This window comes from Homo sapiens, chromosome 6 (genome assembly GCF_000001405.40).
Source record: "Homo sapiens chromosome 6, GRCh38.p14 Primary Assembly".
Lineage (NCBI taxonomy): Eukaryota > Metazoa > Chordata > Mammalia > Primates > Hominidae > Homo > Homo sapiens.
Window position 1 is genome coordinate 78,141,652 of NC_000006.12, and position 24,681 is coordinate 78,166,332.

At 34.4% G+C, this 24,681-nt stretch overlaps 1 long non-coding RNA gene across 1 annotated transcript in view, besides 2 other annotated features; it reads right to left on the reverse strand.

The window, feature by feature from the left end:
- Window positions 1-24,681, reverse strand: part of LOC105377865 (uncharacterized) — a 374,941-nt gene that overhangs the window by 215,771 nt on the left and 134,489 nt on the right. The gene's annotated exons all lie outside the window — the stretch shown is intronic.
- Window positions 14,445-14,614: an enhancer, noted in NCBI's record as "experimental_95763 CRE fragment used in MPRA reporter constructs". NCBI's record gives its function as "activates a minimal promoter by MPRAs in K562 erythroleukemia cells, with activity observed for both the introgressed and non-introgressed 6:78865898 variant alleles {active_cell/tissue: K562}" and the evidence as "EXISTENCE:reporter gene assay evidence [ECO:0000049][PMID:34662402]".
- Window positions 22,682-22,851: an enhancer, noted in NCBI's record as "experimental_95771 CRE fragment used in MPRA reporter constructs". NCBI's record gives its function as "activates a minimal promoter by MPRAs in K562 erythroleukemia cells, with activity observed for the non-introgressed 6:78874135 variant allele {active_cell/tissue: K562}" and the evidence as "EXISTENCE:reporter gene assay evidence [ECO:0000049][PMID:34662402]".

The window sequence follows — 24,681 nt, forward strand, 5'->3', positions numbered from 1 at the left end:
ACTCACAGATAATGGAAAGTACACAGAAAAATACTAAATATTTTAACACTGTAACTGTGGTGTGTTAACTACTCTTAAGTACAAACACTAAAGAATAAACCAATAAAAAATAGTAAGTAAAACAATGTTGCAAGACATAATCAGTACAATAAGATATTGTCCAAGAGTTAAAAAACAAGGGATGTAGTTAAGGCATAGAATTTTTATTAGTTTTCTTTTTGCTTGTTTGTTAGTTTGTTTATACAAACAGTGTTAAGTTGTTATCAGATAAAAATAATAGGTTACAAAACAGAATTAGCAAGCTTCATCACAATCTCAAAACAAAAACCATACAATGAACACACAAAATATAAAAAATCAATAAACTAAATAATATCAGCAGAGAAAAATCACCTTCACTAGAGGAAGACATGAAGACCAGAAAAAAGACCAGAAAACAAATAACAAAACTTTAGGAGTAAGTCCTTACTTATCAATAATAACAATAAATGAAATGGAAAAAATCTCCAAACAAAAGACATAGACTGGCTGAATGGATGAAATAACAGCATCCATTTAACTGTTGCCTACAAGAAACACACTTCTCCTATAAAGACACAAATAGACTGAAAATAAAGGGATGTAAAAAAAATATTCCATGACAATGGAAACCAAAAAAGTGCAGGAGTTATTATACTTATATCAGACAAAATAGATCTCAAGACCAAAACTATGAGACAAAGAAGGTCACTAAATAATGATAAGGGCATCAATTCAGCAAGAAGATATAACAATTTTTATGCACCCAACACTTGAGTGCCCAGGTATATGAAGCAAATATTATTAGCGCTAAAGAGAGAGATAGGTCCCACTACAAAAATAGACAGAGACTTCAAACACCCCACTTTCAGCATTGCACAGATATTCCACACAGAAAATTAACAAAGAGACAGCAAATTTAATCTGCACTCTAGACCAAATGGATCTAAGAGATATTTACAGAACATTTCATTAGACAGCTGCAGAATACACATTCTTTTCCTCAGCACTTAGATCACCCTCCAGGATAAATCATATTTTAAGTCACAAAACAATTCTTAAAACATTCAAAAAAATTGAAATAATATCAAGTATCTTCTCTGACCACAATGGAATAAAACTAGAAATTTATAACAGGAGGAATTTTGGGAACTATACACATACATGGAAATCAAACACTATGCTTCTGAATGACCAGTAGGTCAATGAAGATATTAACAAGGAAATTGAAAAATTTCTTGGAACAAATGGTAATGGAAACAAAACATACCAAAACCTATGGGATACAGCAAAAGAAATACTAAGAGAGAAGTTAAGAGTATAAGTGTCTACATCAAAAATGAGGAAAAACTTCAAATGAACAATTTAACAATCCATCTTAAAGAACTAGAAAAGCAAGAGCAAACCGACATCAAAATTAATGGAAGAAAAGAAATAACAAAAGACCAAAGCAAAAATAAATGAAATTGAAATGACAAAAACAACATGAAAAGTCAATGAAAAAAATGCATTGTTTGAAAAGCTAAACAAAATCACAAACCTTTAGCCAGACTAAGAAAAAAAGAGAGAAAATCCAAATAAATAAAATAAATTTAAAAAGGAGACATTACCACTGATACTGCAGAAATTCAAAGAATCATTAGTGGCTACTATGATGTCAATACATTGGAAAATCTAGACGAAATGGACAAATTCCTGGATATGTACAACCTACCAATATTGAACTTAGAAAAAAATCCCAAACCTGAATAGATCAATAAGTAATGAGATTGAAGCTCTAATAAAAAGTCTCCTAGTAAATAAAAGCTCAGGGCCCAATAGCTTCACTGCTGAATTCAACCAAACATTTTAAAAAGAACTAATTCCATTCCTACTCAAACCATTCTGAAAAATTAAGGTAGTGGAAAAACTTCAAAACTCATTCTACGAGGCTCATATTTCCCTGATACCAAAACCAGACAGAGACACATAAAAAAAGAAAGAAAGAAAAAAAGAAAAGAAAGAAATAAAGAAAAAAAAGAAAACTACAGGCCAATATCTCTGATGAATATTGATGCAAAAATCCTTTCCAAAATACTAGCATGCTGAATTCAACAAAACTTTAGAAAGATCATTCATCATGACCAAGTAGAATTGATCCCTAGGATGGAAGGATGGTTCAACATAGGCAAATCAATCAATGTAATACATCATAACAACATAATGAAGAATAAAAACTATTTGATCATTTCAATTGATGCTGAATAAGCATTTGATAAAATTTAACATTCTTTCATGATAAAAATCCTCACAAAACTGGGGATAGAAGGAACATAGCTCAACATAATAGAAGCCATATATGGCAGACCTATGACTAGTATAATCCTGAATGAAGAAAAACGGAAAGCATTTCAAGATTTGGAACACAAGGATGTCCATTGTCACCACTGTTATTCAACATAGTACTGGAAAGTCCTAGCTAGAGCATCAGACAGGAGAAATATATAAAGGGCACCCAAATCAGAAAGAAAGAAGTCAGGCCAGGCGTGGTGGCTCACGCCTGTAATCCCAGCACTTTGGGAGGCTGAGGTGGGCGGATCACGAGGTCAGGAGATCGAGACTATCCTGGCTAACACGGTGAAACCCCGTCTCTACTAAAAATGCAAAAAAAATTAGCCAGGCTTGGTGGCAGGCGCATGCAGTCCCAGCTACTTGGGAGGCTGAGGCAGGAGAATGGTGTGAACCTGGGAGGCAGAGCTTGCAGTGAGCCAAGATTGCACCACTGCACTCCAGCCTGGGTGACAGAGCGAGACTCCATCTCAAAGAAAAAAAAAAAAAAAAAGAGAAAAGAAAAGAAAGAAAGAAGTCAAATTATCCTTGTTTACAGATAATATGATGATCTTATACTAAAGAAAAAAAAACTAAAAACTCCACAGGAAATCAATTAGAACTGATCAACAAATCAACAAATTCAGTAGTTGCAGGATACAAAATCAACATACAAAACTCAGCAGCATTTCTATAAGCCAACTGTGAACAATTTGAAAAAGAAATAAAAATGTAATCCCATTTATAATAGCCACATATACAATTAAATACCTTGGAATTAATCAAAGAAGCAAAAGATTTCATAATGAAAATTATAAAACACTAATGAAAGAAATTTAAAAAGATACCAAAAATGACAAAATATTCCTGGTTCATAGACTGGAAGAATCAATATTTTTTAAATGTCCATACTACTCAAAGCAATATACAGATTCAGTGTGATTCCTATCAAAATACCAATGACATTCTTCAAAGAAATAGAAAAACTATCCTAAAATTTATATGCAACCACAAAAGACCCAGAATAGCTAAAGCTATTTTAAGCAAAAAGAACAATACTGGAGGGACTACATTATCTGACTTCAAATTATACTACAGAGCTATAGTAATCCAAACAGCACGGTACTCACATGAAAACAGACACATAGACCAATAGGATGGAATGGAGAACCCAGAAACAAATCCACATACATACAGTAAACTCACTTTTGACAAAGGTGCCATGAACATACACTAGGGAAAAAACAGTCTATTCAATAAATGGAGCATTTGAAAATACCGGACATCCATATACAGAAGAATGAAACTAGATCCCTATCTATCATTGTGTATAAAAATCAAATAAAAATAGATCAAAGACTGAAATCTAAGACTTCAACCTATGAATCTCCTACAAGAAAACATTGGAGAAATTCTTCAGGACATTGGTCTGTCTGGGCAAAGATTTCTTAAGAAATACCCCACAAGTACATCCAACCAAAGCAAAAATGGATGAATGGGCTCACAATAACTTAAACAGCTTCTGCACAGCAGAGGATACAATCAACAGTGACAACCCACATAATGCGAGAAACTATCTGCAAACTACCCATCTGAAAAAGGATTAATAACCAGAATATAAAGAGCTCAAACCACTCTACAGGAAAAAAATTCTAATAATGTGATCATAAGTGAGCAAATGATTTAAATAGACATTTTCTCAAAAGAGGACATACAAATGGCAAACAGGCATATATAAAGGTACTCAACATCACTGATCATCAGAGAAACACAAATCAAAACTACAGTGAGATATAATCTCAGACCATTTAAAATAGCTTATATCCAAAAGGTAGGTAATACCAAATGCTTGTGAGGATATGGAGAAAAGGCAACAATTTTACACTATCGATGGAAATGTAAATTAGTACAACAACTATATAGAAGAGTTTGGAGTTTCCTCAAATAACTAAAAATTATGCTATTATATAATCCAACAATCCTATTGCTGGGTATATACCCAAAAGAAAGGAAGTATATCAAAGCACTCCTATGCTTTTTGCAGCACTGTTTACAATAGCTAAGATTTGGAAGCAACCTAACTGTCCATTAACAGATGAATGGATAAAGAAAATGTACTACATATACACAATAGAGTACTATTTAGCCATAAAAAAGAATGAGATACAGTCATTTGCAACAACATGAATGGAACTGGAGATAATTATGTTATGTGAAATAAGCCAGGCCCAGAAAGACAAACACTGCATGGTCTCACTTATTTGTGGAATCTAAAAATCAAAACAATTGAACTCACGGACAGACAGTAGAACAATGGTTACCAGAGGCTGGGAGGGGTAGTCGGGGTCATGGCAGTTGGAGATCGGGATGGTTAATGGGTAGAAAAACAGAAAGGATGAATAAGACCTACTATTTGAGCATCATATTTTTGCTATAGTCAATCATATCTTAATCCTACACTTTAAAATAACTTAAAGAGTGTAGTTGGATTGTTTGTAACTTGAAGGACAAATGTTTGGCAGAATGGGTACCCCATTCCTCATGATGTGTTTATTTCATACTGAATGTCAGTATCAAAACATCTCATGTACCCCATAAATATATACACCCACAAAAATTCAAACATTTTTTAAAAATTGCAATTAAAAAATAAAATTCACCAACCTTAAAAAATTACTTTGAATGTAAATGGATTAAATCTTCAATAAGAAGACATAAAGTGTCTAAATAGATTGAAAGATAGAAAACTAGACCCAGCCATATGCTGCCTACAATAGACTCCCCTCACCTTTAAAGACACACATAGTCTGAAAGTAAAGGGATGGAAAAGGATATTTCATACAAATGGAAACTAAATGAGAACAGAGATAGCTATACGTATATCAGACAAAGTAGAGTTTAAGTCAAAAACTGTAAAAAGAGGCAAAGTAGGTTATTATATAAATATAAAGGGATTGGTTGAACAAAAGGATATAAAAATTATAAATATATATGCACACATCAGAGCAACTACATTATAAAGTAAATAATCTGAATAGAGATAAGTAGATCTGAAGAGATATAGACTGTAATGCAATTAGAGTAGGGAACTTTAATACTCCAATTTTAACAATGGATAAATCATTCAGACAAAAATGCAGTAGGGAAACAGCAGACTTGAACAAAACTTTAGACCCAAATGAACCTAATAAGCATCTACAGAACATTCATTACAACAGCAACTGAAGACATATTCTTCTTTTGTGCACATGAAACCTTCTACAGCATAGATTGTATGTTAGTTCACAAAACAAGTTTGAACATATTTAAGAAGATTAAAATCATATCAAGTAAATTTACTAATTATGATTATATAAAACCAGAAATCAATAACAGGAGAAATGTTGGAAACTTCACAAGTATGAGGAAATTAAACAACATGCTAGTAAACAACAAATGGGTCAAAGAAGAAATTTAAAAATAAAATTAAAAATAAATATCTTGAGACAAACAAAAATAAAAGCAAAACATACCACAATGAATGGAATACAGCAAAAACAATTCTAAGAGGAAATTTTATAGCAGTGAATGCCTATATCGAAAAGCAAAAAGATATCAAATAATCTAAGATTACATCTCAAGTAACTGGGAAATAAAAAGAACAAACTAAACCCAACGTTAGCAGACAGAAGGAAATAACAAATTCAGAGCATAAATAAATGAAATAGGGACCAGAAAACCAATAGGAAAAATAAACAAAACCAATAGGAAAAATCAACAAAACCAAGAATTGCTTTTTTGAAAAGATAAACACAACAAATTTAGTAAAGAAAAAATGGAAATAAATAAAATGAGAAATGAAAGAAAAGAAAATTACAAATGATATACCAAACTACAAGGGATCACAAGAAACTATCAAGAACATTTATATGCCAAAAAATTAAATAACCTAGGGGAAATAAATAAACTCCCAAACACATAAAATCTACCAACCCTGATTCAAAAATATATGCAGTCTAAATAGATAAATAATGAGTAAGGAGTTTGAAGCAGTAATAAAATAATCTGCCATCAAAGAAAAGCTCAAGACTTGAAGATTTTATCACTGAATTCTATGAAACAGTTAAAGAAAAACTTGCCGGGTGTGGTGGCTGACGCCTGTAATCCCAGCAGTTTGGGAGGCCGAGGCAGGCAGATCACCTGAGGTCAAGAGTTCGAGATCAGCCTGGCCAACATGGCAAAACCCCATCTCTATAAAAACAGAAAAATTAGCCAGGCATGGTGGCACATGCCTGTAGTCCCAGCTACTCAGGAGGCTGAGGCAGGAGAATCACTTGAACCCAGAAGGCCAAGGTTTCAGGGAGCTGAGATGGCGCCACTGCACTTCAGCCTGGGTGACACAGTGAGACTCTGTCTCAAATAAAAACAAAACAAAACAAAAAAGACACACACAAAATAAAGAAAAACTAATACCAATCCCTCTCAAATGCCTTTAAAACATCAAAAAGGATGGAATATTTCCAAACTCTTTTTATGAGGCCAACATTACCTTGATACTAAGGCCAGATAAGGACATTATAATAAAGGAAAAATACAGGCCAATATCCCTGACTAGCATAGATGCAAAAATCCTCAACAAAAGCACTAGCAAATCAAATTCAACAGCATGTTTAAAGGACAGTGATCATTTATCATGATCAAGTAAATCATGAAAATGAATAATTTACCATGATCAAGTGGGATTTATTCCAGAGATACAAGAATGCTTCAGCATATGCAAATCTATAAATTCAATATATCACATTCAGAAGAACAAAAATTACATGATCAAATAAGTAGATGCATGAAAAGCATTTGACAAAATTCAACTTTTTTTAATGTTAAAAACTCTTAATAAATTAGGTGTAGAAGTAATGTACCTCAACACAATGCAGGCCATATATGACAAGCATGCAATGAACATTGTACTCAACAGTGGAAAGGTGAAAACTTTTCCATTACAATCAGCAACAAGACAAGGATGTGCACTCTCACAATTTCTATTTAATAGAGCACTGAATGTTCATGCCTGAGTTATTTCACAAGAGAAATAAATAAAAGGCATCTACATAGGAAAGGAATATATACAATTATCAAAGTTTACTGATGATATGTTCATATGGAAACCCTAAAATTACACCAGAAAACACAGAATACAGTAAAGGTGCAGAATACAAATGAAATCAACACACAAAATTAGCAGCATTCCTGTACACTAACAACAAATCAAGACAACAATCCCATTTACAATAGCTTCCCAAAAAATACTTAGAAATAAATTTAACCAAAAAGGTGAAAGACATGTACACTGAAACTTACAAAACACTGATCAAAGAAATTGAAGAAGACACAAATAATTGAAAATATATTTTATGTTTATGTATTAGAAGAATTAATATTGTTAAAATATCTATACTACCCAAAGTGATCTACAGATTCAATGCAATCTCAATCAAAATTCCAATGTCATTTTTCATTGAAATAGAAAAAAAACTCTCAAGTTCATATGGAACCACAAAAAACTCTGAATGTTCAAGGCAATCTTGAGCAAAATCAACAGTGTAGGCATCACATTACCTGACTTCAAATTATATTACAAAGCTATAGTAATTAAAACAGCATGATACTGGCATAACAATAAAAGCAATGGAATAGAATAGAAAGCCCCCCCAAAAAAATGAACCCATGTGTTTACAGTCCATTGATTTTCATTGAAGATGCCAAGAATACACAATGGAAAATGAATACTCTGTAATAAAGAGTGATGGGAAAAATTGGTATCCACATGCAGAAGAATCACATTGGACCCTTATCCTCATACCGTGTACAAAAGTCATCTTTAAATGGAATAAAGACTTACGTGAAAAATCTGAAACTAACACTGATTTTTAAAATTTGATTGCAAAAGCTCAGGTAACAAAAGCACAAGTAGACAAATGAGGTAACATCAAACTAAAAAGCTTCTGCACAAAAAAGAAAGAAAATAGAATGAAGAGACAGTGAACAATTTGGGAGAAATATTTACAAGCAATACATCTGATAAGAGGTTCATATCCAAAATACATAAAGAACACAAAAAAACAAATAATCTGATTTAAAAATGGGCAAAAGGATCTGACAGCCATTCCCCCAAAAAAGACATACAAATCTCCAATATGTATATGAAAAATATGCTCATCACTAATCATCAGGGAAATGCAAACCTAAACCACAAAGAGATATCACTGCATATTTGTAGAATAGCTCTTATAAAAGAACAAAACAAAACAAAAACAAACAAAGAAACAGAAGATAGCAAGTCTTGGCAACTCTGTTGGTGAGAAGGTAAGTTAGTAGAGCCATCATGAAAAACTATATGGAAGCTCCTTGAAAAACTAAAAATAGCATTACTATATGATCCAGCAATTGCATTTCTGGATATATATCCAAAAGAAAAAAAAAAGAAATCAGTACATTGAAGAGATATCTGCAGTTCTATATTCATTGCAACATTCCTTGCAATAGCCAAATTATGGAATCATGGGAAAATGTATATAATGCATATCAAAATATGATTGATATCCTTAAAAGATGACAACGTTTTAAAAGTCAACCAAAAAAATTACAAAACAGAAAAATGATGAACAAGCAATTTTTCAAGGTACTACAAAAGCAGATGAAAATATGTTTTCAACCCAACCCCCTAGTAGTCACAAATTAAACAATAATGAGAAAGCATATTTTTCCTTTAATATTTTCGATGAATATAAAGAATAATAAAACATTGTGTTGGTGAAATATTTAGAAACTACCAATTGTCTACAACGCAGAAGAGAGTCAATTGAGAACCATATTGACAACAAGTATTAAACCTTTGAATATGTGAATTATTTTGAACCTAGTAATACCATTACTTATAATGCTTTCTTAGAAAATTCACAAAAATTCTGTGTGAAGATGCAAGAATAAAGCAGCTCAGAGTGACATTATTTACAATTGCACAAAACTGGAAGTACTTGATTTGAACTGTGTGGGTCTATGTATACAAGGATTTTGTTCTGCCTCTGCTACCTCTAAGACAGCAGGAACAGCCCTTCTTCTTCCTCTTCCTGTCTACTCAACAGGAAGATGAGGATGAAGAGGATGAAGACCTTTATGATTATTCACCTTCACTTAATAAATGGTATATATATTTTACCTTCCTTAGTATTTTCTTCATAACATTTTCTTTCTCTAGCTTTCTTTCTTTCTTGTAAGAATATAGTATATAATACGTATAACATACAAAATACATGTTAATTGATTTTATATTATCACTAAGGTCAATAGCAGACTATTTAATAGTAGTTAAGTTTTTCACGAGTCAAAATTTATATGCAGATTCTTTACTGGACAGGGTGTTGGCACCCCTAACCCTCATGTTGTTCAAAGGTCAACTATATATTGTATTTGTATAATAGAACACTATATAATAATTTAAAATAATCTCATAAATAATATTGTCATAAACATGTTCATGTCACATTTATTTGAAATGTGCTTTCAAATACATGTATGTGAAAATATTTAACATATATACATAAATATATGTTTTTACATACATGTATGTTTTATATGTATATATTTATATGTATATGAAGAAAATAGATTAATACAGCAATAATCATATTTAAGTGGCAAGATTGTTGCTGATTTTTCACATTATCTTTCAAGATCTTTTGAATTAATCACATATTACTTCTTAAAGAGAAGTAATTGCAATTTTAAAACATAAAGGTGAATTACATTATTTCCTTACTTTCTAATATTTAAGTTGCAGAAAGTTGCAACCTTTGAGTGTACACAGAAAAAGAGATATTGACTTCTCTTTCAAAGGTGCATACTAAGTACAGGCCTCTCTCTACTTCCTTGAATTTATAACAAATAAAATTTTAAAAAATTTAAATAATATTAACTTTATAACTCCACAACAACGTCGGAAAACAAAAGTGGAACCTCTTGATAACCAAAGGAGACAGGAAACCCCTTTGGGAAGAAAATTAAGTAACATTCAATAAGAAAGGATAATCAAAACACAAAACAACAAGAAAGTACTAACAAAGGATGAAGTATTTGCACAAGAAAATGTTACACACCTGCAGAAAATCTGCTGGGAGTAGGTTTGTTCTCATAAGAACAACACAAAAGATAATTAGCTGAGACGCCTTTGCAGGCACTAGCAAGTCAACTCTTCCATCTAGCTCCAATCTTGGGTTAGGTAGAAGCAAAAGGGGTTCTACCTCCAAGTAGACGCAGGAGCATGGGAGCTTGGATTAGAGAGACAAAGTGATATATGAGTTAAGAAGAAATCATTTAGGCAGATAATAAGGGTAAGGAAGTCTTTAGTAAGGTTTTCCTTATAATGAAAAGCAGCCCCCAAATCATTTTCTTTTCTAACAAAGAGCAGCCTGTAAAATCAAGCCACCTCATAGCCAAGCAAGTTGGAAGCTTGCATGGGTGAATGCCCATATTTGTGCTAATAGGAAAAGGCTACGTGGGACTAGGAGTATTCAAAATGGTGGCTTGGTCTTTCCTTTTCCTTTCCAATCACGTGTGCACTAGGGAGCAGACAACATGGCACTGGCCAGGTGAAAAGCCTATTTGCATAATAAGATTAGGACGGGTGGCCAGCTTCCCCACACACTATATAAATGACCACCTGGTCCAACCAATCTTTAGGTCCTACATAAATCAGAGACCGCCTGCACAAGCCTGTCTATAAAAATCCGGTGCACAAAGACCCACTGGGGTGCCCCCCCTCTCTCACATGAAAGAGAGTTGATCTCCATTCTCTTTCTTTTGCCTGTTAAACCTCCACTCTTAAACTCATGCCTTGTGTGATTCTGTGTCCTTAATTTTCTTGGCATGAGGCAACAAACCTCGGCTATTAACCCAGACAATGATGCCACTTCAAGAGCAGTGCCAGCAACTCCCAGGACTAGAGAGAATTGGGAAGCAGGTCACTAATATCTCAGAATTCATTTCAAGACATGGCCTGATGCTCGCTCACTTTAATTGAAAGTATGCAGGTGTATCAGCCTTAACTACATGACGTTAAAATAGTAGGATAATGAGGAAAACCTTTTCTGACAACTATCAAAACATGTAATAAAAAAGATGTCCCCAAAAATGTGGACATATACCATATTTATGGATGAGAAAACTCAACATTGTGGAGTTGCAATTCTTTCCAAACTATTGTTCAAAGTATATACAATGTCCTATAATGTCAGTAAAGCTTCTTCACAAAAAATGATGTGCTGATTCTAAACTAGACACTTGGACGGGTGAACATCAGTGGTTTCTGGATTTCAGAAATTAGTTTTAGTTTAGATTCAGAGTTCAGTAAATGCCTAGAGTTCTAGGAATTTCCCTTTCTTCATTATATTGCTACCCTGGAAGATGAGCACAAGAATATTTGGACAGGATTTAAGGGAAGATTGTCATAAAATTCTTTCTTCTTTCCACCTCTTCTTTTATGAAAGAGGTAGTGAGTCTTTTATTGACTGAGGGTTGGAAATGAGTAAAGTGGCATGACTATGTAACTCAATCAAGCTCTATGGGCAGGAACTAGAAGATTTTTACTTATAGAGATAAGGCAGCATTTCAGAAGGGTGTCTATTTTAGTTCTGGTGTCCCTGTGAATAACTACCCTCTGCTAGTGATAATTTCTGGTCAGAACCTTTTGATTATCTCTTTGGCTCTGATGCCTTTTACATTGCCTGTCTTGTGGTTAATTATTCCCATTTGTTACCTTCCACTCTGGTATCTCATTCTTTTTGGAAAACCAGAGAGCCCATTTCAATGGTAACATTTCATATTGTCATTCTGTCAGAGGCGTTTGAACAACAGACATTCCATTTTGAAAGAGGACTGGGTAAAATGAGGCTGTGACCTAGTGGGCTGCATTCCCAGGAGGTTAGGCATTCTAAGTCACAGGATGATAGGAGGTCAGCAAAAGATATGGGTCACAAAGGCTTTGCTGATAAAGCAGGTTGTGGTAAAGAAGTCAGGCAAAACCCACCAAATCCAAGATGGCAATGCAATTGACTTCTTGTTGTCCTCACTGCTCATTATATGCTAATTATATTACATTCACATGCTAAAAGACACTCTCACCAGCCCATGACAGTTTACAGATGCCAAAGTAACTTCAGGAAGTTACCCTATATGGTCTAAAAGGGGAGGAACCCTCAGTTCCAGAAATTGCCCACCCCTTTCTTGGAAAACTCATGAATAACCCATCTCCTGTTTAGCATATAATCAAGAAATAGCTATACATATCCTTAGTCCAGCAGCCCAAGCTGCTGCTGTGCCTATGGAGTAGCCATTCTTTATTCCTTTACTTTCTTAATAAACTTGCTTTCACTTTATGAACTCGCCCTGAAATTACTTCTTGTGCAAGGTCTAAGAACCCCCTCTTGGGGTCTGGATCAGGACCCCTTTCTGGTAACAATTCCTTTCAAGGATTATGGTGCCTATCTCAAAATGTACATTTAATATTTAATACTACTGTAATGTACCACATCCACTTGGCACTGGTTATCCTACTTACCTTGGCCTACTTCTTTCTTTTTAGACAGAACTTATCATTATGTGGCATATTATACTTTCCTAATTCATTATGTTTGTTTATTTTTTATAGTATATCTCTCCTCTGCTCCCTTACCACCACTGGAATATAAGTAAGTTTCACAGTGGTAAGGACCTTTATCTGTTCTTCTTACTGACGAATCCCATGTTGGAATATTTTCTGGCTCATGATTGCATTCAGTAGTTATGAATTAATGAGTGAAAGAATAGAATGAATATATACCTCAATTTTTTAATAATGAGAAGGTCTCTGAGCCGTCTCAATAGACATCGTTAAAAGAGTACATGACTGGGTCTCACATTATAAATCTATTCTATCAGTTCTATCTTCCTAAGGCTTTGAATATCTTCCAAAGGTTGTCTGATATTATAAATTTCTGCTAAGTTTAAGTATGCATGATAGTCTCTAAGGTTTATTTATTAAACAAAGTAAACTTATTGTCTCCAAAATGCTCTACAAACTAAATTAAGAATCTGTTTTTGCAATCAACCCTGTCAAAAGAATGGTTTGGCACTTAACCGGTTCCTTGTACCCAGGATTTCTAAGTCCTTCGAATATCTTGTCTGATAAGACTATATTTGTTTTCTTGGGGGTCTTGAGTCACACCAGATAGCCTAGGCTAACAATGTAATTCCTGATAGAGGCCTTGGGCCACATAGTATGAGCTTGATTTCTAGAAGAACTGGAGACTAAGATCAGATATTCAGGCAGTCAGACATATCTATGTGACCAACCCCAATAAAAGCCCTTGAACTGAGGCTTGGGTGAGTTTCCCTGGTTGGCAATATTTTATACATATTTTTAAATATCATTAGTGAGAGAAATAAGCATTGTCTCAATTACTCCACTGGAAGAGAGCAACTAGAAGTTTCACATCTGTTCTGTCTTGGATCCTGCTTTCTGGATCCCTTTGCTGATTCCTTTTGTTGATTATAATTTGTATCTTTTCATCGCAACAAGCCATAACCATGTATATAATAGCTTTTCTGAGTTCTATGATTCCTTTTAGTGAATTATTGAATCTGAGGGTAGTCTCAGAACCTCCCAAATTGCACCATGATAAGTGTAGTACTATGAATAAAATCAGCCCAAGCCCTCCCCATTCTTTGATTTAGAACCAATAGAATTCATTTCAATTATATGCTCCACATTTTTGTTGATATGCAACTTAGCAAAATCTTTCATTTAATCACCAGTAAAGAAGATAAAATTATGGAAATGTGAATAGCTGTATAGGTTGAAGAAATGGTCTAAAATTGGTAAATTGAGATAATGAAAGGCGAACGGTAAGCTGTTTCCTAATCTCTACCCAGTATTCCCAGGGTGGTGTGGGCAAGTGGATGGGAGCATTTAAAAAAGGGATTGTAAAACTGTGTACACCCCAGGGATAAAGTTCTGGAAAATAATATAGTGAATGTGCTTGTTGAAAAAGAAAACTATCCTATATTTGCCTCCCAAAATAATCATTCCACTCCATTTGGCATTCAATAGATCTCATTAAAAGTATTATATTCAGATTACATTTTGTCATTACAATAGAAAACCAATTTTAGTGTCATAAATAAAATGATAAGGTTCATTAAATAAAATGTTTAAGGAAAGTTTCATGGAAATGGACATATTCAGTCTGTTGGAAAGATAATAATAAAACATGATATTTAATGATACCTAGAGGGCCATTTTCAAAGTGATTTGGGTCATTTGTTTCTAGTTGACAGGAAAATAATTGTAAGGCAAGAAGAATTCAAATTAATTAAAAGGGATTGGACCGGGTGGCTACACATACAATTTCATGTACTATGTTATCCAGGCTAGATCCTTGGTGTAGTTAACATTCCCTTATTATCCAACCCAAGTTAACCATTAGCTTTGGGCCATTCAATACTTATTCCAGAAAGTAAAGTATACTTCAAAATACATTTGCAAACATGTACATAAAGAATATTGGTGGAGGTGATTCTAGAGGAAAATTACTACTGGCATGCTCCCAAGATCCCTTTCACCTGTTTAATATATTTTCCCAATAATTTGGATAAAGTTGTCTCCATGATATCCTGAAATTATTGTGTGTCTTCTCATATAGCTTTTAATATCTGGAAGAGATGAAATATATTTTTATCAGATTTTGCATTCTTACTGCATAACGTGGGATCTTATACATCTCAGATGCTCAGTAAATGTTTAATAGAAAACAAAGTCATGATGGAAAATAACAATAGTCTGGGGAAGGAATGTTACAAAAATAGATTTTAGTCGAATAAATTACAATTCCACATATGGTTCCAAAAGTCCAAATTCATGACTATGCAATGGAGTACATGGCCTGGCACACTGCATACATTAAAGGCTGGAAAGGTTTTAGATGACAGTACAGTTTTAATTAAAATTGTCATTAGCATAATATCATTGTCCAAAAACAATATTAATTGGAATATATTTTTTGAATGCTGATTACATCACACATAGAATATAGGACTTATTTCTGCATGCCATTCTTTGAAAGTTACAAAATAATGTAATGGTTCACATAAGAAAGAAGTCAAGCGACTGCTAAGCTGGGGACTTATATAGAAGTGTTGAAGATTTGGGCTGCTTATTACTACACTATTTTAGAGAAGAGACTATGCATGGGGGAGTAGTGTAGCTAACTATTTGAAGAGTTGCTATGTGACAAAGAAATCAGGTTTTTTTTTTGCTGTAGCCCTTTAGGGCAACCCTAGGATTATAAGTAGAGCCCATATATTTTTTTCTTTTTTTCAGATCAATTGAAATTCCTCACATGCCAGGCAGTTTTATCACAAGAGAGATTAAAGTTAAGTCCCTACCAAAGGAACTTTGGTGTCTAAACAAGCTGTAGACCAACCACTTGGCAGCAAATATACTGGATTTCAAAAAAACGAGATGAGCCAAATGACCTCTAAAGTCGCTTCAAATCTTCTTGAAATTCCATAATTCTATACGTTTTTCATCAGTCTAGCGTTTAACCTTGAAACAACAATAACCATAACAACAAAGAATACTTGGTTACTGTGGCTATATTTCTTGGCAACATTGTATTTGTTCTCTTGCAAAGCTCTTATCATGCCCCATAAGTATCCGTGAGGCCATTTTTAACAAACTAACTATAAGCCTTTGGAGAAAAACTGCCACTGAATTCACTCAGCAAATATTAAATGGGTACCTACTATGTGGCAGGCCCTGTGGTAGGAATGCAGGATTACATGACAGGAAGCTTCCTTTAACACACTCATCTGGGGTGGAGGGTAGGGGTGAGGTGAGCATGGATATAATGAAACAGCTGTCAAATTAGGTTAATGGTACTAAACTAGAAATGTATATAGGAGGTATGAAGGGAATGGCGAAAGTGAACAAGATGCCAGGAAGAGGTATGAAGGGAATGGCCAAAGTGAACAAGATCCCAGGAAGAAGTTACAGAAAACTATGCCTGTAATGAACATGTTTGAAGACAATGTGATTTTTGTGCTTGGCAGGGGCTAGATCATGAATGTCCTCAAATCCAAAAAAAAAAAAAAAAAATGATGCTGACATCACACAAGCTTCTCCAACCACCTTACTTTGTTGTTGTCATTCTGTTTTGTTTTAGGGCTTTTAGCAGCCTGAAGCCATGGGTTTTAGTTTCTGTCTCTAGTGATAAGTTGAAAAGAGGGATGAGGAATAGGCTTAAGTTGAAAAGAGGGATGAGGAATAGGCTTTACTGGCCCAACCAGAAACAGAAACTAAGAACCCATGACTGTATTCTCTCCTTTGGATGCCCCTGATAGATACTTGTCACAGTGTTTTGTGGTACACCAGGTCCTCCATGTTCTTAATACGTGTAGTATGGAAAGAGGTTGTATAATAAACATAGTTCTATGAGTCACAACTGTGAAAAATTCTGTAGAAGCCTCTTTAACCTTGCTGAATCAGTGTCTTCTACATTATTTGCTGAAAGAATCTTAAAAATACCTTTTAATGTCTCTTAGAAATGTTCATGGAAAACAATTAAGGAAGTGCTCTCCCACAGACATAGGGAGTCAAGAGAGTCTTGAAGAGTCAGGACAAAACATGAACCAATTTTTATTTAGCAAAAACATCGTCTTGGTTCAGAAGTAGAAGTGGAATAGTATGAGGCAAAGAGGATCCTTGAGAGTAATCGAAGTAGGAAAAGATCAAGCCTTATGGTCAACTCTTAATGTCAAGAGCCAAGGCTATTGTTTCTCCTTGTCAGACACCACCATTGAAACATTTCTTACACTTCATACACTGTTTCCATTCTCAATATTCTGTTTTGTTGTTAAGTATTTTTTTCCCTCTCTTTTTTTTCCAGGCTTTGGAAAATGTTCCCATGAAAATAGCATGTGTCAACCATATCAGTTTTATGTGAACACCTTTAATGAAGTATATGTGATTTCTGTTAAAATTACACACACACACACGTATATATATACACGTCTATACAGAGATGTATACATATATAGATGTATACATATGTGTGTGTGTGTGTGTGTGCGTGTGTGTGCGTGTGTGTGTGTGTTTATTTTTAGATCCTCTATTTGCTTATTTTGTGTCAAGGGAGCTGAAGATATGGCCACTTTTAGCAGATGGGGCTCACCTGCAAAACAGACAGAAAGGAGCAAACAGGTCCCCAGAGGCAGCATGCTCAGCATGGGAGGGTCTCTTCTTGAACCTCACTCCCAGGTACCTCATTCTTATTCCTTCTTTCAGCCCATTTCTGGGCTGTGTGGCCTCACAGAGTCTTGTCTTCAATTTCCTGTGGTACTGGCCTTTGACATGATTGACTCTGCATTTTTGCAGTGATGATCTTTCCCCTGCACCTATCTAGTTTATTTCACTGGTGTTTTCCTTCTCCTTTGTACAGTCAGCTGAAACATTTAGTATATTCCTAATCCAGAGAAACTAACTCCTCCCAGGCTAAACAAGGCTGTGTCCCTTAGAAGGCAAATGAGTCAGGACAGATACTCAGACAAAGGATATCTTCAGCACTTAAATAAGAAAGAAAACCATTCCCAGAAATTACTAGGAGTAGAAAATAGAAGCTCTTTAGGAATACAACTGGCTAAAAAATATGCACTTTGCTTATTTATTTTGTAGAGCTTATTTTCCAGGGATCTTAGTCTCTGGCCAGATTCAGCCACAGCTCTCAGGCATTGACACTTGTGAAAATAGACATTCTGGTGATGCTTTAGAATATGGCATTGCCAAGGACAAAGAAAAAAAAAGGCAACACCTGACATCTGAGAACTGGTCTGATGCTCATAGGTAATCCATGTTCTCAGGTTGAAGTTAAACGATCTGAGATAGTAATAAAGTGGGACAAAAACAAGATCTATTTTTGTTGGCACAACCAGCAAAATATCAAATAGTTCCCCCTTCCAATTAATATGAGTGACTGTTGGATCCTCTTTGTACCATTATCCACTTCTTCCCATTGATAATATTTCTTTCAATGCCTAATCGTAGAATTATTCTACCTTCCTGACAGTATACAATCCAGAACGAAGGCCCACTTCTTTAGATTCTCCTCAAAATTACTCAACATTGAAAGCCCAAATCTTGTAATAGGTACTTTCTAACAATTTACTGATATACTTCGTGATTTCCCCTCGTGTCTGTTCTTTCTCATTTTAGTGAGCTAGAACAGGAATTTTAAAAAAATTAAAGAATGTGTAAGCAGAAATTCAGGTGTATGTAAGAAAACCCAATTCCCCCTGAGAAAAAGAAAGAGCTGGAATCCTTAAAAAATTAACTGCCTGTTTTTCTGTGGCTAGTGAGCCTTGTCTCTCCTCTTTTCCCAGACATTGTGAAGACCCTGTTTCTCTAGCTGTGCAGCTGCAAGGTCACTAGACAGATAAACTCAAGTCATAAAACATGTTTTTCCTTAAAAAGTAAGAAATGATGTAATGCATGTTTCAATTAATTGAATAACTGTTTTTTATTTCTTGCTTCTGTAATATGCTTCCCCCTGTACAGATCTCCCCCACCCCACCCCGCCCCACAAAATGCTTAAAAGGTAACTTAACTCTTTGTTCAGGGCTCAGTCCTTTGGATGTTAATCCAACTGGACCGGTGAACCTAAATAATAAATATCCTCCTGAACCCCACTGGTCTCTGATTCCTTATCAATCCCACTACAGAGCAACAAACTCAACTTGTTCAATTACAAGTGTATTTCCAGGGATCTTTGGCTAGAGGGCATTGACACCAAAGAACAGAAAGGATTTGCTAAAATTAATGATGTCAGTTGATAATAGATTAATAACATCTATTAGTAAGATATTATCATAACTAAAGTTGATAAATATTGTGCAAATAATATTATTATAAATTCTCCTTATTTTTCCTGAGAGACAGTAATATATAAATAAATATTAGTAAAATAATAATTGAAATCTTATAAAAGTGACAGTAAATCAGTCCCAAACCTTATCCCACAAATTGAATTATTTTTAGATTCGATCTTGCTTCTTAGAAGCCTATGTCCATATTTATATATAACTTTATATATTTTAATTCTCTTAGCTGTACAACCAGACCAGTTCAAGTCAACATGGTAAAAATATAATTGAGTATATGGTTTTACCAGTTAAAACCTATACACTTCATATTAGGTAAAATAGAATCTGAGCTAAATACCTATCTAAAACCCCACTTTCCGAGATCCTTTAACTTGGCTCTTTATGAAAAAAGCAAAATAAATTAGTTACAATTATAAATACCCAAGATGGAATGACAACAGTATATAATTAACTAAACATAAAAATTTACATCTTTTAATAAATCATGGTGTGTTTCTTATATTAATTTTCAACCCCTCCCCACTAAGGTACTGGTGAAAATATTTGGTCAAATGTGGCAGAGAAATATTTCTTTCAGCCCAATTTCATCTTCTATGTACCACTTTTGCCCTTCCAGTGTGCACTGTTTCCTTCAAAATATTATTATTATTATTATTATTATTATTATTATTATTATTATTATTATTTTTGAGACGGAGTCTTGCTCTGTCACCCAGGCTGGAGTGCAGTGGCGCGATCTCGGCTCACTGCAAGCTCCACCTCCAGGGTTCAGGCCATTCTCCTGCCTCAGCCTCCCGAGTAGCTGGAACTACAGGTACCTGCAACCACGCCCGGCTAATTTTTTTGCATTTTTAGTAGAGACGGGGTTTCACTGTGTTAGCCAGGACGGTCTCGTTCTGCAATTACACAAAGTTCTTTTAAAGTACAGGTATTCGTTCATCAAGAATGTTTCTAAAGAGGTCTTATTTACATTGGAAAATCCCTGCCCCTAGTTGCTTATTACCAGAAATGGTTTCTCTTTCTTGGTCCAGCCCTAGAGATATTCATTGCCTGAGTATCTGTCTTGTTTCTGTTCTTCTCCAACTGTAAGGCAGGAGGGAGTTCACTTTGCTTTTCCATGGATGAAAAGGCTAACTTCCAAATTGCATCCCAAGTAAAACTGAATTCTGGCATTGTTTGTCAACCTGGGTAATAAGATATACTTTGTGCGATTACAATAAGCACACTCGGGTCACAGTATACCAGGCATTTTATGACCCAGCTATTTAATACCAACTCACTAATCTTATAGACAGAATGATTTTAGTAAATGTTTAACTTTGCATTCTTTTTTTCTCTTAACAGTGTAACATAAGCAGTTTCTATACAAATTTCACAGAATTATTTTAGTAGGGTTCTTAACAATATTTCATTATTTCATGTAATAAATATACAATAATTGTTAAAATAGTCCTCTGTCATTAGACATTTAAATTTTGCTATGAAATATTTGGGAGTACCTGTTTTATTAGATGATACTCTGTAAACCCATTTTTGTCACGTGTGTGTGCTGAAAGTAACTAAGAGGTTAAATCAGTTATCATACTTGTTAAAATTATGCAACCAGCAAAATATGCAAGTGAGGATGGTAATGTAATTGTGTGGAACCACATCAAATGGGGATGATTAAAACTTTCCTGTCTCTTCTGCACATGGGCAGCTTTTTTTTTTCAAATCCATTTAGTTAGGCACATTAAATATTTACTTTACATGTTGCAACAAAATTTTAAAAACATATTATTTTGGAGAATTGCCATATAGTCTTCCATTCCTGCTCAGAACCGGACTAGTTTTCATAAGCCTGGTAAATACTTGACAATTTAGTGACTGACTTGAAGACTAGCTAGTGAGTAGCTACTTGACCAGAAGTTGAGAATTTCTGTGTGAGGGAAATGACAGAAACAGGAATAGAAAAGGAGGGAGAGGGGAGAGTAGTATGAAAGATGGAGAAGAGAGAAAAGAGTTAATCTACCTTCAAGAAGATTCCCAGTTGGAAATTCTCCCCGGTTTGCCCCCCTGTTGACTCGTGTTAAAATTTCAGAATTACTTTACAGCCACATCTACAGACAGTCTGTCCTGATCCTTGGTTTATGTCATTCTAACAATGCTTTGATCACATTTATACACCTTACTTTCTTCCTTATTTAAAGTTTTCTCTTTAAAAATAACATCTTGGCTGGGCACGTTGGCTCACACCTGTAATCCCAGCACTTTGGGAAGCCGAGGCAGGCGGATCACAAGATCAGGAAATTGAGACCATCCTGGCTAACATGGTGAAACCCTGTCTGTACTAAAAATACAAAAAGTTAGCCCGCGTGGTGGCGGGCGCAGGTAGTCCCAGCTACTCGGGAGGCTGAGGCAAGAGAATGGCGTGAACCCGGAAGGCGGATCTTGCAGTGAGCCCAGATCGTACCACTGCACTCCAGCCTGGGTGACAGAGCGAGACTCCGTCTCAAAAAAATAAATAAATAAATAAAATAACGTCTTAAAATATAATGCATTTTTTGACTCCATTCAAACTCCATTACATTGAGTAAATAAATATTTGATAAACCAATCTAATAAACTCTCCTCTAATCAGAGAGCAAGCTTTACTAAATGAAACTATGAATCCAATAACATCTTTGCAAAGCTATACTGGGGCTATTTGAAATCACCTCTTTGCTTTAAACATATTCCAGACATCCTGCTTCTGTTTATTTATATTCATTATGGTTCCTTTTCTCAGTGTCATTTACTTCTAAAATGCAAGGTTGTGAGGCTCTCCTCAATGCAGGTGAGGATGGTAATGTAATTGTGTGGGACTAAGTCACCAAATGGGGGTGATTAACAACTTTCCTGTCTTCTGCACATGCGCAGCATTTGCTCAAAGTTACTGCCAATTAGCAAGAGAGTGGTACTCTTGTGTCATTTTTTAAATTAATTACATTTCTCAACTGTTCTGAGAGCATAACAGAAAAATCAATTGACAGATTTGAATAAATCTTGACATTGATTATAAGTTGTGAGCCTGGGACTTTCTTTTCTAAGTCTCTTGAAAAGTTGAATGCTAATCTTTTCAGCTAACTTGCTTTATGTTACATTGCTATCAGTCAATCACGCTTGTAATTGACTTTTGCTTTTATAGCAATACTCATATGACTTTAAGGATGACTGAGTCCACTTTTGTTCTAGTTTCTTCATTGAATACCAGATATCCCAGAAAGACTATTAATCATAATTTTAAGATCCTTCAAGTAAAAACCTCTCCAAACTAAAACATTAAAATTCACTCAGTGGACAGACTTTAAGTCAAGATAAGCACTTAAATACTTGTATAATATATGCCATATTAAAAAATCAAAATTTTAAAAAGTTTGTGCCTTTAATGAGTACACACATATACAGAAATAATTTATAGATTCTCTAGTATATCAGCACCTACCTTTAATAAGCGCTGTCCTCAGAAACTAATATTAATCAATGAATGTCTTGAAAACCATTTGAAGACTGAGCAGTTCTATGCATTATCCTTGTTAAAGTCAAAAACTAATTTCATGGCAACCGCTACTTCTGTCATTTGCTGAATATTAACATTTTTTTCTGGGGGACTTTTATAAGCAAGAAACAACAAATCCTTTCTCATTATTTCAAACAAAGCAAATTTCTACTTATAAAACAGAATATGTACAACAGAATGTCTGAAAAATCTGATATTTTTGATAGAACCAATGTTTAACATAAACCTTTAAGATTTATTTTGAATATCATAATTATGAATAAGTAGTAAATTGGTGGAGATGCTGATTCCAGATAAATTCGGGAAGAAAATCTGATCAACTGAATCTTAAATTCTCAAGGAAGTGACAAATAATAATTAATGTTTATCTTTGGAAAAATTTTATAGCTGTTAGGAAACTGAATTACCTCCATGCTTTATTCTATTTGTTCCTTAACTCTACATGGTGAAAGTATATGCAGGAGCTGATAATGTCTTCATTCCTTGAATCATCTTTATATTTCACAGTCCAAATTCAACATATGCATTATTTTATACATAACTATTTATATAACCATAAAATCCTTGTACCTAAACAGTAGAAAATCCAGGTTTCACAAACTGAGGAAATGAGACAAAAATATAGATCTACCTCAGAATGTATCCATGATTGTAGATGCACTTTAACATGGCAACTATATGGCAAGCTCAAGGTTTGGAGGAATATGGAATTATTCCCTCTCCCCTCTCCTTCTTGCCAAAATTTACTCACAGGAAATGTGAATGAGGAATTTGAGTGAAACAGAGAGAATAAGAAAGACAACGGGCAATAGAATTTCTAAGTGGAAATGTTTATGTCCCTCTCTCAATAAAGTGTTATCTTGGTAACTGATGTGAGTTATTACCTGCCCAATCACAGCCCGGGGACTTGTGGTGTTTCCACTTATCACAACAGTCCTGATGTGGTCTCGATAGGAAGCTACGCTCCTGAGTACATTCAGTAGAAACATTGAAGTAGAAGAGACTTCTAACTTCTCAAGATACTCCAAAGCAGAACTGGCTTCTTAAAAATGATTGATTTATATTAAAGATTTTGGGGGATTATAATCATTTGTTCACTATTTATTTTAAATTCCAGTGATACACCCAAAATATATGTCAAAAACTATGCCTTCCCCCTTTTGTTAAATTCTTTTACCATTTTCAGCCCAGGGTGGAATAAAGAGATATTCTATTGTTATTTCCAAGGATAGTTAATAGCTATACCAATTTACTCCCATTCCCCTACTTGATTCTTTCTGATTTGACAAAAACTGACAAAGACTTTTGAAAATTTTTCTTCTTTCAACTGGCATCATACATAACTTTTTTGTCATTAATGTACATGCAGTGTAAATCAATAATCAATAGGTTGTTTATATATGTTATTTATACATTTTAGTTCCTGTATGTCAAGGACTGTGTTATACACACACATTTCTTACAAATGGGATTAGAATCTACAAAGAAGAGATAAAATTCATCAATAATCACTAAACATAGTGAAATAAATGTGATGTGTTAATAAAAGTAATAAAGTTCAAAAATGAATTTAACAGTAGTATTTTTAGCCCTAATTATAGCTGTGCTTTTGGGGAATAGCAGTATTTATTAATGAATTATGGAAACTAATCTCAGAGTAAAGGATTTCTAGTGATGGGAAGGCAATAATCAAACCAGACATTATGTTTTGCACCCTAAAGGCGAGGCACCCTCTAAAACCTCTGCCACCACAGCAACAGAAAGTATTTGTAGGCATGTTATTTGCAAAAGCTATCAACAGTGTAATATCTCCAAAATTTTATTATTTTTTATGAAATGGAACAGAACACAATGCACTTGGGATATATAAA